At 34.4% G+C, this 14976-nt stretch overlaps 1 protein-coding gene and 1 long non-coding RNA gene across 11 annotated transcripts in view; one reads left to right on the forward strand and one right to left on the reverse strand.

The window, feature by feature from the left end:
• The window catches only part of CASD1 (CAS1 domain sialic acid O acetyltransferase 1), a 124364-nt gene that overhangs the window by 5071 nt on the left and 104317 nt on the right, over nucleotides 1-14976 (forward strand). For 7 of the 9 annotated variants that reach the window (XR_007060138.1, XR_007060140.1, XR_007060139.1 and 4 more), the window contains exons 2-5: nucleotides 2681-2777; nucleotides 3324-3444; nucleotides 12283-12327; nucleotides 13309-13371. Coding sequence is in view for 4 of the 9 variants with exons in the window: in XM_011516495.3 (XP_011514797.1) it covers nucleotides 2681-2777; nucleotides 3324-3444; nucleotides 12283-12327; nucleotides 13309-13371 (326 nt within the window). In the remaining 5 variants the exon portion in view is untranslated. Of the gene's footprint in view, nucleotides 1-2680; nucleotides 2778-3323; nucleotides 3445-7965; nucleotides 8162-12282; nucleotides 12328-13308; nucleotides 13372-14976 lie in introns of all 9 variants that reach the window. The other 2 variants (NM_001363427.1, NM_001363426.1) reach the window with 2 other exon arrangements.
• The window catches only part of LOC105375404 (uncharacterized), a 34852-nt gene continuing 28640 nt past the window's right edge, over nucleotides 8765-14976 (reverse strand). For both annotated transcript variants that reach the window (XR_007060433.1, XR_007060432.1), the window contains 2 exons: nucleotides 9325-9394; nucleotides 8765-8877 (listed from right to left, as the gene is read on the reverse strand). This is a non-coding gene — a long non-coding RNA (uncharacterized LOC105375404). The remainder of the gene's footprint in view (nucleotides 8878-9324; nucleotides 9395-14976) is intronic.

Below are 14976 nucleotides of genomic sequence, written 5' to 3' on the forward strand. Positions count from 1 at the left end.
AATAACAACCGAAGTTTTGTTTTGTTTTGTTAGGTTTGTTTGTTTTGTTAGGTTTATATTTAGTGATTTTATTTTAAAAAATTTCTTTCCTGAGAAAAGAGAATTTGTTTTAGAGTATGAAATTTTATGGAGTTTTTTCTGGATCAGGTTAATTTATTTTAATCAGGTTATAATAGTAGTAGTAATTTATTATTACTACTATTTTTATAATTTTGCTGACATACAAAAAAGTCATTCTCTTCTTGCTTTTTCAGTTGTCTACTTAGCAATCCTTTATATTAGATTCTGGTAAAATAACTGGTACATTTCCTGTCTTTTGACTGGACCCTAGCTGATATGATACAGACACACATGGATTAATTTCAGATACAAGCCTTGTAAAAAACATCTTTGTGTTATGAAATATGTTAAGTCATCATCAACTAGCATTCATTAGCAAATTAAGAATTTCTTCCATGGAAAGCTCAGTATTCTCTAAAAACTGTGTTTGTAATGCCTTTGGGTTAGTGACAACTTCAAATCTCATTTTGCTATGGTTTTTTTTTTTTTTGATACGGGTTCATCAGATTAGAGCTATTGTTTTCCATCAACTCAACAACTGAGAAACAAGATGTGGGTAATAGTATTGACTGGAGGCAAAAAAAGTTATTTGCATTTTAGACACGTTTTCTGGGGAGAAACGACTGGTTATTTTGAGATACTGGTATGGTGTTTCCATCTCTATAAAAACATACCGGTAACCCATATAGATGCATAATCCCAGACACTGAAGTTTGATTAAGGTGTGTTTCTGTCTGGGCTTTTAGTTCAAAGACAAAAGACAAAAGGCAAATAACAACACCCCCCTCCCCCTAGAAAAGGGGAGGGGAGAAAGAAAACAGAAAAGAAAAAGAAGAAAACCTTAAAGGATTAACACCTAGTTATTTACAACTTACAGCTTTTTTAAAAAATAGATGTTTTGCTAACTTTTAACTTGGTTTAATAGATTTAAAGAGAAATGCTATAAATATGGAATTTTCACCTTAATTTTAAACATTTGCTAGGTTTTAATAAGATTTTACCATATGGCCATTATAAAAGAATGCTACAGAAATGCTATTTGTAGAAAAATAACTTGTGTGTTTCTGGAGTTCTTTTTTTACTCATCCTTAGTTATTTATGTAGCCTAATTTTGTTTTTTAGAACTAGAATTAGTTTTTAATAATTGGGGAAAATGAAGAACTAATTATTTGTAGTTTACTTAGAGACAGGTTATTAAAAAATCTTTGAAATACAAAAAAAAAAACTGCTCAAGCCGTGTATATAGTTAACACAAATTTAATAATTGATACCCTGCTTTCCTTAACCAGTTTCCCATCAATAAGATAATGCAACATTTTAACTTTTCCTTCCTGTTCTACTTTAGAATTTATGACATAGGAAACAACACCACTTTCAATATTTATGCATACTTGTCTTGTATTTGTATCACCTTTTGTCTGTATTTTGGCTAGATAATGAGTAACTAGATTGAGAAAAGAGATGTGTTCTTCTCCTTTAAATATCTTTGTGTCTTCCTTATCTCTACCCTGAAATGCTCAATATCCTTTTTGTTCTGCAGTATTCTTCCTCCCAGACTCCTTAGCCCGACTTTAACTAAATGTCAAGTATAACTTGCTATTGACTATTGATAAAGAACTGGAGATTAAATTAAATAATATTTTATTATATCCCCATAGTTAACCTAAACATCTAATTCTGCCCCCCCACACACCCCCAACCCACCCCATTCCTTTGACATATTTGAGCTTAAATGCCTCCAAACTCTCTTTTAACCCCTTTGGTCATGTATATTTAGCTAATGTACAGTAAAATATCCAAAAGTGTAGAGTGACTCTTTGTCTCAGTTTACCTGGGACTGAGGAGTTTCCTAGTTACGGAACTTTCTGTTTAAAACTAGGTCTCCAGGTATGCTGATGCACTGTGTATTATAGTAGTTGAATAGGAAGTCATTTCCAAAGTCGTGTCTTTTATCCCTTAAACTTTTTTTTTTTTTTTAAAATGAGGCAGAGTCTAGCTCTGTCACCCAGGCTGGAGTGCAGTGGCATGATCTTGGCTCACTGCAACCTCTGCCTCCTGGGTTAAAGCAATTCTCATGTCTTGGCCTCCCGAGTAGCTGGGACTACAGATGTGTGCCACCACATCCAGCCAATTTTTGTATTTTTAGTAGAGATGGTGTTTCACCATGTTGGCCAGGCTGGTCTCAAACACTCGACCTCGAGTGATCTGCCCACCTAGGCCTCCCAAAGTGCTGGGATTACAGGTGTGAGCCACCGTGCCTGGCCTCCCTGAAACTTTTCATTCTCAGCTATAAGTAGGGGAGATATTCAGATGTAAAGGCTAATTTAAGGTTGAGATAATGTCCCCGGAAAGAAAACCTGAAGCAGAAGGAACTGCCAGAGCAGGGAATGTATCATTAGGAGTTAGGTGAAGTATAAGCCATCAGTTTCTCTTGTCCTCTTGAATATTAATGTATTAATATTTACCATGTTTCTCATGAGTGGGAACTGTGAACCTGGGCGGTACAGTGAAACAGAGAAAACTCTACTTTTTTATTTCAAGGAACTTATATAGGGTCAAGATAGCCGATGTGTAAAATTTTAACTATTGTTTACAACACTGTTGTGTTTAACTGTTTTAGGCAATGATTCGTGTGAATACCTTCTCTCAAGTGGCAGATTTCTTGGAGAGAAAGTTTGGCAACCTCACAGTTGTATGATGCATAAATACAAAATCAGGTAACATTTCTTCATTTTGTTGTTTTCTTTTTCAGGATGGGTCTTAATATGTAGTGGAGAGGGGTTGGTGAAACAGTACTTTTCATCTCTATGTTGGGGTAGAGACTTGCTGACTGAGTGTAGGGCTGATTGCAAATGAAGATTTCCCTGCCCACTAAGGTTTTAGGGAAGGGCTTTGGCCAATCTGCTTTATCTCAGGTGTGTGATAACTAGGCCTAAGGCAATAATCCTTGAGCAAAAGACTCTTGCTCTGGCACCTGGATACCTATCTTATGGAGTTATTCTAAGGATTAAGAGATAATAGATATAAAGCACCTAATACAGTTAGAGTACATCTTAAACATGTAATGTATCGAGCTATTACAGAGAGTTAACTGATTACAGGAACGTGGAGTGGTAAGTTAAACAAACCTGGCCACCTGCTTATAAAGCAATATAATGGTATGTGTAACAATCTGGATCAACTTTCTTCAAAAACGGTGTGCTTTGAAATGCCAGGATGGCTGATTTTACTTATTTTAATTAATTTTTCTTTGTTGCTTTCAGTGAAGCAAAGAACTGCCTTGTAGATAAACATATTGCATTTATTGGAGATTCCAGAATTCGTCAATTGTTTTATTCTTTTGTAAAAATAATTAATCCCCAATTCAAAGAAGAAGGAAATAAGGTAAAACTTGTCTATTCCCTTCTGTAGAGTGTTTTAGAAGTTAACCAACTGAATAGTTACAGGAGGAGTGTGTCTCTCCAGATTGAGTAGGAGCTGAAAAAATTTTACTTTGATTTTCAGAAAGGTTGGGGAAAAAGAGGGATGAATTGCTTTAATGAGGAAGATGACAAAAAGAAGTGGTGGCTAAGACATTGGCAAGCTTTTTATTGTAATAACTTAAACTTTTAGTTTTCAGAAATAATAAATTCTTACCATGGAAAAACTTTTAAATTTCCTTAGAAAGAAGACAAAGAGAAAATATCACCCCTTATTCTCCTGTTAGTATTTTTCCATACTTCTTTTTGCTCATCTCTTTTTTTAAAAAAACATACTAGTAATCTTTTAATATGTGCAATTTTATATCTTGCTTTTTTCTTCACCACTTATTCACCATTATATAATCAACTTAAGTATCTTCTTAATGGCAACATATTATTGAGTGGATATAATGTAATTTTATATAATTTTCCACTTTTTAAAGCTTTTTATAGTTTTCTAATTTAATTTTGCAGTTAAAAAATACATTTTAAATTACTTCTTTGTGTGAAAACTTTGCTTTTTAAATTATTTCCTTAGGGTGGAATCTCTAAAATTCAAATATTAGGTTAAAGAACATAAACATTTAAAAATTATTAATTATGCTGCAAAATTATTTCAATTTATACTAATTAGCAATATATTTTGGGGCCTAATTTTCTGCAAACTTTCTGGCATTGGGTGATCATGCTGTAAATTAAAACAGCAGTGCAATAAGTTTCTGTTATTGATTTTGTTAGGAAATTTCTCGTTTAAAAATATAACTTTGAAAACTAACAAGGATTAATTTCTTTGTATATATTAATTAATTAGTTCATTATTTTTTGGTGAATTATCTCATCATATCTTCTGTTTATACCTTTTTAAGTGATCCCAGATTGTAATCATTGTCTTCAAATACCATGTGATTGGGAGAGGGGAATAGCAAAGGGGGGAAAGTCGAACACAAGAAAGTTTAGAATTGTGAGGGGAGTAGCTCATGAATTTATGAAAATCTGCCTATGTTAAAGAGTTGAAAACTTAAGAGCCTTCACAGCTAAGTAGTTATTAACATAGTGATGATGATACCAGGTCCTAAATCTTTAGCAACTATTCCATGTGAGAATGAGAATAATGGAAACAAATGATACAGTCAACTTTTCATTTTATTTGCTATCTGTATTTTCCATTTGCATTTATACATATGAAATTGTAGAGAAGACTCAGAACTATTTAACATGAAATTATTACAATTTAAAGTGAAAAATTTTAATAAACTTTTATTTTTAATAATTAAAAAAATTTTTTTAATAGAGACGAGGTCTCACTATTTCGCCCAAGCTGGTCTTAAACTTCTGAGCTCAAGCAATTCTTCCATCTTGGCCTCCCAAAGTGCTGGAATTACAGGCATGAGCCACTGTGCCCAGCCTTTAGTAAACTTTTAAAAAGTAGAGAGATTTCTGATTACTATGAAGGTTTTAATATTTCTTGGCTTAAAGTTGCATGACTTTCTAAAAATTCGAATAATGGATTTGACAATAGGTAGTTGAAAAAAGCTATAATGGTTTAGTCTGCAGCCAAAAGTAGATACAATATGGTACATTGTTTCTGAGCCCTAGTTGCAACACTTAGGTTTCCAGTTTTTATAGTCTAGGATGCTCAGTTATCCCAAGATTATCAAACGAGATATCAGACAAGATTAATTTATATGCATTTAAAAGGAAACAAAGATAGTGTGCCCCCGTCTTAAAGAGACAATTTTCAAGAAAATATTTAATTCAAGCTGCTAGTGGAGCATTTGCCAAATTATGTGTTACCTTGTCTCTGCACACCTTGAGGACAGAAATTACATATCATCATTATTATTTTTAAATATATTTCTTGTCCCTAGCATAATCTGGCATATTATAAAAGCTTACTACTTTTATTTAAAGCCTGGTATGGGTATGTCTGGGTAGAATAGGAATATTGAAGATAATTCTTTGTTTGAATTTGATTTCTTTTGTGTATTGAGTCAAATTTTTTTAAAAAGAGACTTTAGAGGTGAATTTTTTCAAATTATGCTTTGTGGGAGACTAGTTCTGTGAGAAGCTTTGGTCAAATAAATTTGGGCAGAGCTAGATATCGTATCTCCCTCTTAGATAGTTTTAATTTAGGCTGGGATATTAAAAACTTGAGAAGTCTTACAGTAAAGAAATCAATTTTGTGTTGCTTCCAGCCATAGGGCAGGTTAGATACTCTGGGGGCTCCTTCTATGTCAAACCAACTGGAGCCTAGGTTTAAAAAATACTGTTGATGGACTGGGTGTGGTGACTCACGCCTGTAATCCCAACACTTTGGGAGGCTGAGGCAGGCAGATCACGAGGTCAAGAGACGGAGACCATCCTGGCCAACATGGTGAAACCCCATCACTACTAAAAATACAAAAATAAGGCCGGGTGTGGTGGCTCGTGCCTGTAATCCGAGCACTTTGGGAGGCCGAGGTGGGCGGATCACCTGAGGTCAGGAGATCGAGACCATCCTGGCCAACACGGTGAAACCCCATCTCTACTAAAATGCAAAAAATTAGCTGATTGTGGTGGCATGTGCTTGTAATCCTAGCTACTCGGGAGGCTGAGTCAGGAGAATCACTTGAACCCAGGAGGTGGAGGTTGCAGTGAGCTGAGATCATGCCACTGCACTCCAGCCTGGCGACAGAGTGAGACTCTGTCTCAAAAAGAAAAAAAAAGAATAGTAGCATTAAAGTTCTGAAAGTAAGTTTCAACCTAGAATTGTATACCTGGGGTTAAAATTTCTGTGTTCTTGAGATGTATTATAGGACATTCTCAGATATTTAAAAATGATGAGGTTTTACTACAAAATAGACTTAACACTAAAGTAATTTCTGAAGGATAACCATCAGGAATGAGGGAAATGTTCAGAAAAAAATTATCTGAAATGTAAGAAGCAATGGTTTAAGAAAATAGTAAAAATGTATATAAATCTAAACAATGTTTGTATAAAATAATAATATCTTTTGCACTTAGTGAAAAGACAGAACTAAAGAACTGGCTAATAATAGCAGATATGTCAAGGGTAAATGATCACAATTAAAGTGTTCTAATGTACTCTATATTCTCTAAAATATTGTGTTTTTTTAAAACTTAAGTTAAAGATGCACAGTGAAACTTCAAGAATAAGGACCGAAAGAATTGAATTAGAATGTATAAATTTCAATCAGAAGAATAAAAAAATTAAGCAAAAACCAAACTCATCTAATGCCAAATATGTATTTTATACACATGCATGTACCATACATATACATATGATATACATACGCACACACAATTATATGTCTATGTAAAAAGCTGTTTTTGCATATATTATCCATATATGAAAAAGCTACATATATGTGGCAGGGATAGAAATTAAAAAGTGAGATGGTAAAGCCAGGCACGGTGGCTCATGCCTGTAATCCCAGCACTTTGGGAGGCCGAAGCGGGTGGATCACAAGGTCAGGAGATCGAGACCATCCTGGCTAACACGGTGAAACCCTGTCTCTACTAAAAACACAAAAAATTAGCTGGGCATGATGGTGGGCACCTGTAGTCCCAGCTATCGGGAGGCTGAGGCAGGAGAATGGCGTGAACACGGGAGGCGGAGCTTGCAGTGAGCCGAAATTGCGCCACTGCACTCCAGCCTGGGCGACAGAGTGAGACTCCATTTCAAAAAAGAAAAGAGTAAGATGGTAAAAACATTTATGGTCAAAATAAATGCAAGTAGCCTAAACTTGTGAGCTAAACACAGATTTTCAGATTGCTCTTGAAGAGAACTTTCTGCTGCTTAAAAAGACATATTTAAAATAAGAAGGACATGGAAAGGTTTTAATTAAAAATGAAAAAGGATTCACCAGGTAAATACTAAAGAAAGTTAAGTCATATTAGTATAAGATAAATAGATTTTAAGGCAAAAGCATTTTCAGGGATACAGAAAGTCACTTTCTAATGACGAAGAGTTCAGATAACTAAGATTTTAAACTTGTAGGCATCTAATAAATTAGCCTTAAAATTTATAAAGCAAAAATATAACTACAAGGAGAAATTGGCAAATTCTCACTTACAGTGGGAGAATTGCATACTGCTCTCAGTTAATGATAGGACAAGCAAATAAAACTAGTAAACATATAGTAGAGCATTAACATGCTTGATTCTGTAAGCTTATAGCTCAATAATTTAGAAAATACACTTTACAATCAGGGAAATGTTTGTTTGAAGCACGCGTGGAACTTTTTAATTATTTTTATTTATTTTTTTTTTTTGAGACGGAGTTCTCGCTCTGTTGCCCAGGCTGGAGTGCAGTGGTGTGATCTCAGCTCACTGCAAGCTCTACCTCCCGGGTTCACGCCATTCTCCCGCCTCAGCCTCCCCAGTAGCTGGGACTACAGGCGCCTGCCACCACGCCCAGCTAATTTTGTTTTTGTATTTTTAGTAGAGACAGGGTTTCACCGTGTTAGCCAGGATGGTCTCGATCTCCTGACCTCGTGATCCACCCACCTCGGCCTCCCAAAGTGCTGGGATTACAGGTGTGAGCCACTGCACCCGGCCAACTTTTTATTTTTAACGTGTATTACACCATTAAGCAAGTTCCAACAATATCAGAGAATTGGTGTCATTCTTGCTTTAAGGTAAGTTACTTTATATCAAACTTAACCTGATAAAAATTGTAGAAGCCTACAGAAAATGTTCTTAATGGTGAAATGTCAGACATACTTCCATTAAAATCAGGAAAAAGACAAAGGTGTTCATTACTGCTGCTTCTGTTCAACATTGTATTAGAGATTCTAGCCATAAAAGGTAATCTAAAGATGTAAGAATTGGGAAGAAATAAACTGAGGAGTTCATATGATACAATTCTCTACATAGAAAATCCCAAAAAATTTATAGAAAATTTACTAGAAGTAATAAAGATTTTAACAAGGTAGCTGATAATAAGATGTACATACAAAAATTGTGATACCTCAACAAAGCTGTTAAAAATTAACAAATATCTACATGCCAACAATGTAAAGTTCTAAAGGCTTTTAAAATATACCGTGTGCAATGGTAACGGCAACAGCTATATGTTACATAGGAATAAACAGCAAATGTGGAAGATCTGTATGCAGAAAAGCCATAAAAATTTATTGGAAGACAATTCCAAATGACATAATTAGATGGAATATAATATACTGTTTCCTTGGATGGGAAGACTCAGTATTGTAAAGATGTCAGTTATTCCCAAACCGATCTGTAGGTTCAGTGTAATTCCAACAAAATCCTAACAGAATTTGTTGTGCAACTTTACCGATGGATTCTAAATTTTTTATAGATGGGCAGCAGACCAAGAATAACCACAACAAATCTGAAGAACAAGGTGGAAAGGATTTGTTATACAATATCAAGATTTAATTTTACCTTGTAGTAATTAAAACAGTGTGGTATTGGTATAAACAAAGAAACCATTAGAATAGACTGTAGAGCTCTAAAATAGAAACATGCATATAAAATGACTTTAAAAGTAACAGAAATGCCATTGATGATCTCTAGGGAAAGGAAGGTCTGTTCAGTTAATTGTGCTAAAGCAATTAGCACATGGAAAAAGTTGAAATTGGATTCCTACCTCACACCATCTAGTAAAATCGTTTCTAGATGGATGAGTTTAAACTTAAATGTGAAAGTAAAAAATTTGAAACCTTTAGAAATAGAAATAAAATGTAGGAGAATATCTTCATTATCTCAAGGTAGGGAAACATCTCTTACATAAGGAACAAAAAGTGCTAACCATAAAATAAAAGATAAATTCACATACCTTAAGATAAAGAGTATCTATTCACCAAAAGATACCTTAAGATAAAGAGTATCTATTCACCAAAAGATACCTTAAAGAAAAAAGATAAGCCACAAATTGAGAAAAGATAATTTACAACATATATTCAAGAAATATCAGAAACTGCAAACTAATGAAAAAGATAACCCAGTAGACAAAAGGTGGGGGTCAGGGAGCATGGCCAGGCATTTTACTGAAGTGGAAGTGAGTTTTTTTTATACCTACTATAATGGCAGAAATTAAATCTGACAATGGCAAGAAATATGAAAACAGACCAGATGTATTAGGCTGTGTACCAGTAGATGTCTTATAACTGCTAGTGAGAGTGTAAATTGTTACAAATACTCCAGAAAATAATTTGCGTTATCATTTGATGGTGAACATTTGTATGGCCTATGGATCTATGGAACAATTAGGGAAATTCTTACTCTTTTGTTAAGAGACATATCCAAGAAGATAACCATTAGTGCTGTTTATAATCTAGATAGTAACGTATTTTATCAGTTGACCTGTACTCTACAAAAATAGTAAGTATGATACTTGATATTAATAAAAATAGTATTGATAAACTGACTGAGCTGTGCAAGTTTTTAAAGGCTAGGGAATGTTCTAGGTTATACGAGATTAAGAGATGTGACAACTAAATGTAACACTTGATTTTAATTGGATTGTAGATTAAAATATAAGAGCTATATAAAGGATATTCTTGAGAAATTGGAAAAAATTGGATATGGACTGTGTATTAAATGAGATAATATTTTATCAATGTCAAAATTCCTTATGTAAGAGAACGTTCGTGTGGGTATGTGCTTAAAGAGATATATGCTTAAGTATTTAAGAGTGAAATGTTATGACTTCTTTAATGAACTTTCACATAGTTCAGCAAAAGAGAAAAACTATAGAATATGTATGTGTAGAGAGGGAGAAAGGTAAAGCTGGTACAGGAAATGTTAATGGTTGGTAAAAGGTTTTGGGCGTTCGTTTAATTCTGTCAGCTTTGCTATAAGATTGAAAATTTTTAAAATTGAAAGTTGGAGAGAAAGCCAACAACATTAAACAATATATCATTTAAAGATGCATATTTATGTGACAAAAACTAAAGAAAGTTTTTAAAACAAAGTATAAACACACAATTTAGGAGAGTGGTTTACTTTGGGTGAAGCAGGGACTTAAGATAGGGAAAGGACCACATAGGTGGTTCAGTGTGTTGGCAGTGCTCTGATTTGTATCATGGATTCATGAGTGTTGATTTAGTTCTACTGTGCTTTGTGATTTTCATATATGTGACTTATTTGTATATATCAAACATTATATTAAAAAAGGAAAAAGAAGAAAGAGATCGAGTTGCATTAATTACTGTATGCAAAGTAAGACAAAGAAAGTTCATGACATTATTTTTCTGAGGACAAATTTTTAAAAGGTTGAGGATGTGGTAGAAGGAGGAAAACACCTGTGTGATTTTGTTTGACCCAGTATATCCCAGATTTATTTCACCAAAGAAACTTAAAGTTTCACTGAACTAATAGTCTCGAGACTCCTTTTGGAAAGTGATGTTTTAGAAGCACCAACAAGAATCTAAAAAGTTAACCTGTTGATAGAACAAATTTTGTTTCATGGAGATTACAGTATAAATACTATTTGTCTGTTTGAATTAATGAAAACATTTCAGCTTTGATTTTAGCAACAGAATTAGCTTCTTACTGACCACCTTTACCCCTTTCCCACCTACGATTTCTATTTCTGAAAGGAATGCCATTCTTTATGTAGAACATTTGGTTACAAGAAGTTGTAGTGTTCACATTTCAATTTTTTCTGCAAATGGGCTATTTATATACTGTTTTCAAAGTGAAACCTATAGCAACCTAGAGTCATGTTCATCCATTCCTGTCACTCAGGGCCTATACTAGTACACTGGTGAGAATGGACTAGATGTTGCTACAGCAACAAACTACTCTAACGTCTTAACAAAACAGAAGTTCTTGCTTAGCGTTGCATGTCCTAGGTGGGCTGGCAACAGGCTTTGCTCCACACAGTCATTCAGCAGTTCCTACTATTGGAATTTTTACTACCTTCTAGAGTACCTTGGAACATTGAGCTTCCTTAGTCTGTGCATCAGTTAAGTTAGAGACTAGAGAATTGCCTTGGGAAATTCAGCCTGGAAGTGGCGTATGTCACATATATCCACGTCGCATTAGCCAGAACTAGCCATGTGGCTCTGCCTAACTGAAAGGGCCTCAGAAAATGAAGGGAAGCAGTCCATTTCTGAGATGAATAGTAATACAAGTGCTGGGCACGGTGGCACATGCCTTGTAATCCCAGCACTTTGGGAGGCTGAGGTGAGTGGATCACTTGAGCCCAGGAGTTCGAGACCAGCTGGGCAACGTGACAAAACCCCGTCGCTACAAAAAATTTTTTTAAAAAATTAGCCAGGCATGGTGGCGTGCACCTGTGGTCCTAGCCACTTGGGAGGCTGAGGTGGGAGGATTGCTTGAGCCCGGGAGGCGGAGGTTGCAATGAACCGAGATTGCTCCTTGTACTACAGCCCAGGCAACAGAGTGAGACTCTGTCTCAGAATAACAAACAAAATCAAATCAAACAAAAAATAGTAATACTGGAACTAAATTGGAATCCTGGCAATCTTGGCAAAAAGGTAATTTATACAGACATGTTTATGTATCTCCTTGTTTGCTGTTGAAATTTTATTTTTGAACTATATCTTAGATGTTGAAAATCACATGTAGACAATTTAACTAGTGTCACTTTGTTGTGTTCTATGTCGGTTTTTTCCCTTTCGGGTTGAATGTATAGATAATTGAGATTTGGTGCATAAAAATATATCAACAAAAATATGCATAAAAATAAATCAAAGCAGCTAAATGGGGCATTTTTTATATAAATTTAATCTATACATTAATATTTCTCTGTCTCCTTTTATGGCAGCATGAAAACATTCCTTTTGAAGACAAGACTGCATCAGTTAAAGTGGTAAGTTCATGTAATAGTAAGCTAGATGTTACAATGTTGAAACTATATTCATTGGTTAATTGAACATACTAAGTATATTTCAATGTATTCTTGAGAGTAGATAAGAATATTAGGATAGTGGAATAAAAGTTTGTGTGAGTTATTTTATGTAATGGTCTCAAAATTTTATTTGGAAAGAATAATCTTGCACATGAATTTGAAACCAGTATGTGTTCCGGGTTAATGTCCATAAAAGAATATATGTGAATTTTCTGAATTCCCAATCAGTGAGAATTCAGTGAGGATCAAGACAAAAATGGCCTTGACCTAATGAAGATTGCAGGTCTTTATAGTTCTCTGCATGCAAATACAAGTGGGACAAGGATGGCAGAAAAGAAAAAGAGGGGCAATGGGAATGTGCAGAGCAAGGAATTGAAAGTCATTTTCCTCCATGCAGAAGTGATATTTTAACTGAGGCTTCAAAAATAAGTAAGAATTAGGCAGGCTCAGTGGAAGAGTTTTGTGAGCATTATGGACAGAAGGAATAGTATGTGCAAAGTCCTAGAGAAAAAGGAGAACATAGAGCATTCCAAGAGCCGACTGAGGACCAAAAGGGAGAGCAAGGGTACAAGTGGCAGGAGTAAAGGCAGAAGGGACAGGTGGAGATTCTGCACCTTGTTAACAACTTACAGGATTTTAGATTTTATTCTGAGGGCAGTAGAAAGTCTCTGAATACTTAAGCAGGGGCATAGCAAGATCAGATTTAAGTTTTTAAAAGATTGCTCTGGCTAAAATGTGGACAGTAGGTTAGAGGAAGACAAAAGTGGATTCAAGGAGAACTATTGTAAGACTCTTGCCAAATTAAGATAGGAATTGAAGATGTCTTGGACAAGGTAGTGTTTTACTTTTAAGTACTCTGTAAGAGAATGTTAATGTTTATTTTGAATGGTGGAATTAAGAGTTTCTTCAACTTTTTCTTTACTTCTAACATTTCTCTTTTAGGATTTTCTGTGGCATCCTGAAGTTAATGGTTCTATGAAACAGTGTATCAAAGTGTGGACTGAGGTCTGTATTTAAAAAACATAGGCTTTTTTTTTTTTTATTTTTATTCCCTTTACACAAGCATATTTTTATTCCCTTTACTCACTTGTCCCACTCTCCTATATTTTATACCTGCCTTCTTAATAGCAACTAAACTGTGCTGGACTGATTCTAGCACTTCATTGAGAAGAGAAGATGTAGATCCAATATCTCTGCTCCATTATCACCATTCTAACCATAAAGCAGATTATGTTTATCCCAGACTTTTCATATTTAAAGTCTTCTGTTACTGCTGTAGTTCAGCTGATTCAAACCCAGGTGATCTTCCCAGCACAGTGTATATTCTCTAGTGCATTTTTCTGTTTTCTCCTTCAAACTCATGTCCAGATACTTCAGGAAACTTTTGTTTATTTGTTTTTATAGCCTTTTTTTCCTTTTATTATTATATTTGTGACCCAGCAGGCAAGACTAATATGTTTTAGCTCATGATGTTTGGAGATAAATTAGATGTAAAGGTAAGCATGCTATTAACCTCAGAAAACTCCTAAGTTCTCACAAGTCCATTTTACAATCTCTGTAGTAGTTTCCATACAGTCTGTCAGTCCTTTAATTAAACCTGTATTCTTTCCCAGAGACATTTGTATTTGAGATGAATAAAACAATATTTAATTTTATTGACCTTGTTTTGTTCAATTAATTTCCCTGCAACAGTTTTTTGGTTTGGGATTTTTTTTTCTTCACAATAAATATTTAGTATTGCAACCACATCATACAATAAATAGGCTTTTGTAGGATCCTGTGGGAACCTAGCCACCATTTCTAACCTTGTTTCTTTGAGCAAATGTTTTCAAAAAACAAACATGTAGACAACTTCTAGAATTCAAATTTCTGGTAAATTGAGGTCTACAGTGTGTTTTGGTTTTGTTTATATGTTTTTAAATGTCCAGAAGTGTAGAATAATGTTCCATGTATATTTGAAATTATTTAAGCATATGTTTCATATTTGTGCTGGACTGAAAATGTATTTATTAAAGTAGTAGAAATTCACAATTAAACATTAATACACTACAATTTGTAAATCCTGCAAGATCACAGAAAACCTTTATAGGCTATTTACTAACCTGGAGATATATTACATAACCAAAATTTCAATTCTCATACATTTGTTAAAGCTAGTTTTTGGAGCCTTAGATTCTATTGTAAAACTCATTATGGTTGTTGAGAAAAAGAAATATTTAATTTATTTAGGTAGATGACCACATGGTCACTTGAGATTGATTAGTTGATGGTTTTCATTCACTCAGGAGTATATATGGATGTATGTATTTACTTTTTACTATTTCTGTAGTAAGCTGCTAGATCCTGAGGATTTGGAGACCCACATTTTTGTTGTTAATGTACTATTGCCAGCTTTGTGCTGAGTAATAGGAATGTGGCTGGGAATTAGCTCCAGTCTCAGCCCTCAAGGAATTTGCAATCTAGTAGATGGTGAATTACTGATGAATAACGACATAAGAAGGCAAAGGCTAACACAGAATTGAGCTCAAAGGATTATGAAAGTACCATGGATAGACACTTAGGATAGGAGGTGGTGAGAGTGTTGGTAGTTATCTGAGAAAATTTTATAGA

Source organism: Homo sapiens, chromosome 7, assembly GCF_000001405.40.
Source record: "Homo sapiens chromosome 7, GRCh38.p14 Primary Assembly".
Lineage (NCBI taxonomy): Eukaryota > Metazoa > Chordata > Mammalia > Primates > Hominidae > Homo > Homo sapiens.